At 40.4% G+C, this 6672-nt stretch overlaps 1 long non-coding RNA gene across 1 annotated transcript in view; it reads left to right on the top strand.

The window, feature by feature from the left end:
* SNAP25-AS1 (SNAP25 antisense RNA 1) overlaps positions 1–6672 on the top strand; it is a 195695-nt gene that overhangs the window by 186587 nt on the left and 2436 nt on the right. The window contains exon 4 of the long non-coding RNA NR_040710.1: positions 6272–6376. This is a non-coding gene — a long non-coding RNA (SNAP25 antisense RNA 1). The remainder of the gene's footprint in view (positions 1–6271; positions 6377–6672) is intronic.

Raw genomic sequence — 6672 nt, 5'->3', positions numbered from 1 at the left:
CAAAATTGGTGGGTTCTTGGTCTCACTGACTTCAAGAATGAAGCCAGGGACCCTCGCGGTGAGTGTTACAGCTCTTAATGTGGCGCATCTGGAGTTTGTTCCTTCTGATGTTCGGATGTGTTCGGAGTTTCTTCCTTCTGGTGGGTTCGTGGTCTCGCTGGCTCAGGAGTGAAGCTGCAGACCTTCACGGTGAGTGTTACAGCTCTTAAGGCGGCGCTTCTGGAGTTGTTGGTTCCTCCTGGTGGGCTCGTGGTCTCGCTGGCTTCAGGAGTGAAGCTGCAGACCTTCGCAGTGAGTGTTACAGCTCATAAAAGCAGTGTGGACCCCAAGAGTGAGCAGCAGCAAGATTTATTGCAAACAGTGAAAGAACAAACCTTCCACAGTGTGGAAGGGAACCCAAGCGGGTTGCCACTGCTGGCTCAGGCAGCCTGCTTTTATGCTCTTATCTGGCCCCACCCACATCCTGCTGATTGGTAGAGCCGAGTCCTCTGTTTTGACAGGGCGCTGATTGGTGCGTTTACAATCCCTGAGCTACACCCAAAGGTTCTCCATGTCCCCACCAGATTAGCTGGCTACAGAGTGTGGACACAAAGGTTCTCCAAAGCCCCACCAGAGTAGCTAGATACAGAGTGTGGCTTGGTGCGTTCACAAACACTAAGCTAGACACAGGGTGCTGATTGGTGTGTTTACAAACCTTGAGCTAGATACGGAGTGCCGATTGGTGTATTTACAATCCCTGAGCTAGACATAAAGGTTCTCCACGTCCCCACCAGACTCAGGAGCCCAGCTGGCTTCCCCCAGTGAATCCCGCACGAGAGCTGCAGGTGGAGCTGCCTGCCAGTCCCGCGCCGTGCGCCCGCACTCCTCAGCTCTTGGGTGGTCGATGGGACTGGGCGCCGTGGAGCAGGGGGTGGTGCTCATCGGGGAGGCTCGGGCGCACGGGAGCCCATGGAGGGGGTGGGAGCTCAGGCATGGCGGGCTGCAGGTCCCGAGCACCCCCCGCGCGAAGGCAGCTAAGGCCCGGTGAGAAATTGAGCGCAGCGCCTGTGAGCTGGCACTGCTGGGGGACGGAGTACACCCTCCGCAGCTGCTGGCCCGGGTGCTAAGCCTCTCATTGCCTGGGGCTGGAAGGGCTGGCCGGCTGCTCCGAGTGCGGGGCCCGCCAAGCCCACGCCCACCCAGAACTCCAGCTGGCCCGCAAACGCCGTGCGCAGCCCCGGTTGCCGCTCGCGCCTCTCCCTCCACACCTCCCTGCAAGCTGAGGGAGCCGGCTCCGGCCTTGGCCAGCCCAGAAAGGGGCTCCCACAGTGCAGTGGTGGGCTGAAGGGCTCCTCAAGTGCCGCCAAAGTGGGAGCCCAGGCAGAGGAGGCGCCTGGAGCCAGCGAGGGCTGTGAGGACTGCCAGCACGCTGTCACCTCTCAAAGCTACCCTATTCACTCTCAACTACTTACCACATAACTCTCAGATTATTTTAACAGAACCAGGGCACCGTTTCTTGAACTACTGTTTCTCAGTGTAGGCAAAGCCTCACATTTGAGTTTTTTTTGACATAATGGAGCCTAGAAGTCACTCAGGTTCCTTGGGTCTCAGTTGTAAAATCAGAATAGTATGAACTGCCCTCACAAGCCGTAAAAGAAGTATGCATAACAATGACATAAGCTCCATCTTGGCTCTGTGGTTGATTCTTGGGGAATACTTCTGTGGATAAACAGTTCCAACTATGTATTATAGGTCATCAATAGATCTTTCCAATGATAATCTTCCCCATGTTTGGAGACAAAGTTGGTATCAGTAACAACCTTGTTTCTGTTCTGGAGAAAGTTCCTGAAATTATTTGAGAATCTGGTAGATTTTGGAGGAAACACATCTAGAAGACTGAAAGGAGTAGATTAATAATGTGTGAACTCTGCTTGGGTCATATCAGAACTACTGGCGCAAATATTTTGAATAGAAGTTGGGTAAGCATTTGCTGTTTGATTGAGACCTTGGAGATAAGCATGTGGTCCGATTCACTCTCCTAACTTTGTTTTAGGGAATTTTTTTTTTTTTTCCCTGAAGGGGTACTGAGTTTCATGAAATAATCTTTGATTTTATAATCAGGTAACTGAATAGTAGAACAATAGATAAACACATTTAATTTCAATCTTTTTAACCTAGGGAGGCTACTAAAGTCGTTATTGCTGAACTATTTAAATAACAGCTTCATGCTAATGAGGGGACAGGCAGGGCATGGGTAAAGTTTTGGAAATCCCAGATTCATAATTAAACACAACCTTTCTCCTCTTTCACCAGAGGAGAACTGAGAACACTGCAGAGCCTTCTTAACTTGAACTTTATCATTTTTGCCCTGAGCTATCTGGCAGTAGAGTTGTCAGAATTTGGACAACACAAAGGAAAAATGGGAGGAAGGGGTATTAAATATTCCTACTGCTCAAAACATAGCTAGTTGGGAGGTGACAGAAAAGTACACGTTGTTCTTGCCAATGACTTACGATACAAACTGATACACTGGCTAAATTCTCTAATAACCTAACTTGTGCTTCTATCTTTGTCTGGTATTAAACCAATTTTTATCTTTAAATTACAACTATTCAAAGGGCTTGCAAATTTAATACTTCTTACATAGTCCTAGGCATTCTGCAAAATGCTTGGCAAATTAAATGTGATTCTATTGAATAACCTCACATATTTTTATAAAAATTTTTCTTAAAATCCAATAAGAAACTTCATTTGCTATCACAAGCCCTTAAACTCTTATTTACTGGTCTGAATAGCAGGCTATAGAGCTGTTGTTTTATAACAGCAATTATAGTCATTAATTTAAATTAGAAGATAATTGAAGTATGAATTAGAAACTGGTATGGCATACTACTGGGTGATAACATATTTAATTGGAAATAAAATTTGATTACTCATTATGGAACTTTTTATAAGATCGAGCTAAGATTAGTAGAGTTTTATTATTGTTGTTTTCTTTTCATAATTATTTACAAAATTCATATCCTATGGTGCTCAGGTTTTAAAATTTTTTCTTCTAAAATGAACAAAACTTTTCAGGATGGCTTTGTGTTATGGGGAAGTCTATTTGCCATTTTACACTGTGCAGTGATTTAGAACTTTATTTATTGTACAAGTAAATGATGGATTGATAACATATTTAGTTGTTTCCTTCCAAAAGAGAAATGAAAACATGTCAACTAATGTTTGAAATGGGAAATAAATTAGTTGACAACATAGAGCACTACTTAATACTTCCATTAAGAAATTGTTTTGACTCCTTTATATTGGAACAATTACAGAACAGCTCTTGAATGAATGAGAGTTGAATAGTATTACTTCAGAATATGAGCCTTTTGTAGATAAATATATTCATATCAGGATCTGCACTTTTCTTTGGCTTAAATAAAGTAAAGCCTCTTTAAGATTGCATGGGGGAGTTTTTGTGAATTTGAAATAAATATCTCAAAAGCTGTCTTGCTATGAGCATATTTTCATTCTTTGTAGGCTACTGAATCTTGGTTCTTCTGAATTCTCTTATCGGTTCCTAAGAACTTTCCTCCTTCTTCTGTCGTCTAGAATATTTAAAATATAAGTGGAACTATTTATTCTTTAAGGATAGACAGAATACAGCTATGAAATCTGGTCTGGTCTGCTTTCTGCCCTTCCTTCCTTCCTTCCTTCTTCTCTCTCTCTCTCTCTCTCTCTCTCTCTCTCTCTCTCTCTCTCTTTCTTTCTCTCTTCTGGAGGGCACTGGCACAATCATAGCTCACTGTAGCCTTGAACTTCTGGACTTCTGGGCTCAAGTGATCTTTCTGCCTCAGCCACCCATGTAGCTAGGGCTACAGGCATGAGCCACCATGCCCAGCTTGCTCTTTAGAGGGTACATTTTTAATCATCTTTCCAAACTCTTGCATGAAACTTGATCTATTCCTGTTTTCTACTTCAGAATAAGGTCAATTTTCATTATTTGTAATTTGTTACACAATCTTCTGTGTCCTCTCAGTTTTCAAATTTATTGCCATGTAACTGCAATTCTTTGAAACTTCTTTGATTGTGAAGTTATATCTCCTTTCTTAATACATACACACACACGTACACAAACTTTTTTTCTTTAATCTGAACCATAAGGCTTTCTGTTTTACAGATTCTTTAAAAGAGCAGATTTTTAAAATCCTTTTTATCCTTTCTAATATATTTTATTGTTTTCTATTTCATGAAATTCAGTAATTTTGCCTTTATTTCTTAGTAGTATATTTCACTTCATTTGCTTTTTTCCTAATTTCCTAGGATAAAAACTATTTTTTTCTTTCATTTACTTTATTAATGTAAGCATTTAAGGCTATACATTCTCCCCTGAACACAGTTTCATCTGTGTCTCATAGGTTTTGGATTTAGTGTTCTTTAAATTGCTTCCTAGAAAATTAGTAACATTAGTTGTGATTTTCTCTTTGATGTGGAGAGGATGTTTCTTAATTTGCAAGTACTTAAACTTTAGGCCACCTTTAAATCATTTATCTTCAACAGCCTATGATCAGATAATATGTCTATTAAATCCCGATTTTTTAGAAAAGGTGTGTGTGTGTGTGTGTGTGTGTGTGTGTGTGTGTGTGTGTGTGTTTAAATATATAATTGATTTTTTTTTTTTTGAGACGGTGTCTCACTCTGTCGCCCAGGCTGGAGTACAGTGGTGCAATCTCTGCTCACTGCAAGCTCCGCCTCCTGGGTTCACGCCATTCTCCTGCCTCAGCCTCCCGAGTAGCTGGGACTACAGGTTCCAGCCACCACGCCCAGCTAATTTTTTTTTTTTTTGTATTTTTAGTAGAGACGGGGTTTCACTGTGTTAGCCAGGATGGTCTCGATCTCCTGACCTCGTGATCCACCTGCCTTGGCCTCCCAAAGTGCTGGGATTACAGGCGTGGGCCACTGCACCCGGCCATATATAATTGATTTTAAGAACTATTTCATAGGCATAAAGTATACTATCTGGAAAATGAATATATGTAATCAACTTTGTTGTGTTGTTCTATTTTCCTAAATATTTGATTATATTTAAATTTACCACATCAGCCTAATTTTTATATGTTAAATCCCTTGTAATCAGTGTATTTTAATCAAAGTCATCTTATATTTCTAGTAATTTTTAATTAATGTATTTTGTGGCCATACTGTTTGTGCATATAGATTTATGTCATCTGCTTCCTAACTTTTGCCACTGTAACTCTATGTCATCCTTTTCCTTAGGTAATGTCCGTAGCCTTTAATTTCTCCTTGTTTAACATTTATTTCTTTTTGCTTGCCTTGCCTCAAATCTCTTATTTTTAATCTTTCATTATCAATTTGTTTATAAGAATGTTTCTGATAAATACTATATAGCTAACTTTTTGTTCTTATTTAATCCAATTTGACTTTCTCTGTTTTTTTAATGAGAGAATCTGGTATATTAATATTTAGTGTAACAAATGATATACTTGATTTTATTTTTTCAGTCTCATTGATTGCTTATTATCTAGATTATTCTACTATGACATCTTTTTTTTTATTTTTATCAATTTGGTCTTCAAGTCCCTCCTAACTTGGAGAATCTGATTAACTTTTTCATCTCATTAATAATCACCTTCCGTTCTCAGGCATTAATAGTCAAACATTTATTTTCTTTTAAATAAAATAAGGTAACTCTTTGTGCCCATTTCTAGATGCTTGATTCTCCCAGTCCTTTCCCAACCTAAAAAAGCATTTTGTCTTCTACTTCCCCATTTTGTTTTCTTCTCCTAGATGAGATCTTGAGAATGACCTTACATCCCTCCAACCTTCTACCCAGCCCTAAGTCTTTAGTTTGGCCAAGATAAGTTAGAACTTCTAATTCCATATAACTATGGTACTGTCACTGGCAGTATGAATGCTCCATGTGAATGCATATGCCAGATTTGAAGGGAATCTTTCTTTCTTTTTTAATTGAAAAGCAGTTAGATTCACATTGTGGTTATGAGTTTGGGTGCTTGTATCAGACTACATGGATTTTTTTCTCAAAGGTGTTGCTTGCTAACTGTGTAAACTTGGACAAGTTAAATAAATTTTTTTGTGCTTCTGTGAAAAGAAGAATTATATTGTGGTTGTTCAAAATATCCATACATTCTTCAACTCTCACCCAAAAAACTGGAGCCTCATTCTCCTTCACTTTTCTGTTTGGTGAATTTAGTCTCTCACTTCTGGTGAATGGGATACAGTGGAAGTGACAGCATGCCTTCTAACTCTCTCTTTCTCTCTCTCTCAGAATGTTCACTCTGGGGGAAGCCAGCTGCCACGCTGTAAGGACACTCGGGCAGTCCTATGAAGAGGCCCGTGTGGTGAGAAAGAGAGGCCTCCAGCCAACAGCCATGTGAGTGGGCCATTGAGGAAGCAGCCTCAGTGCCTGCAGCCCTGACTGGCATCCTGAACTACCACCTTAAATGAGACCCTGAGCCAGAGTCACTACTTCCAAATTCTTGACCCACAGAAATTGTGAAATAATATTTGTTGTTTTAAGCCGCCAAGTTTTGGGAGTAATTTGTTATATAGCAAAAGATAATTAATACATTCACTTCCTAAGATTATGGTGAAGAATTAAGGATACAGCATGAAAAGAACTTTGCTATTATTTTTATTATCTGATCCAATTTATGTTGAAGGGCCTTC

Source organism: Homo sapiens, chromosome 20 (genome assembly GCF_000001405.40).
Source record: "Homo sapiens chromosome 20, GRCh38.p14 Primary Assembly".
NCBI lineage: Eukaryota > Metazoa > Chordata > Mammalia > Primates > Hominidae > Homo > Homo sapiens.
This window is presented reverse-complemented; position numbering and strand designations above follow the sequence as displayed.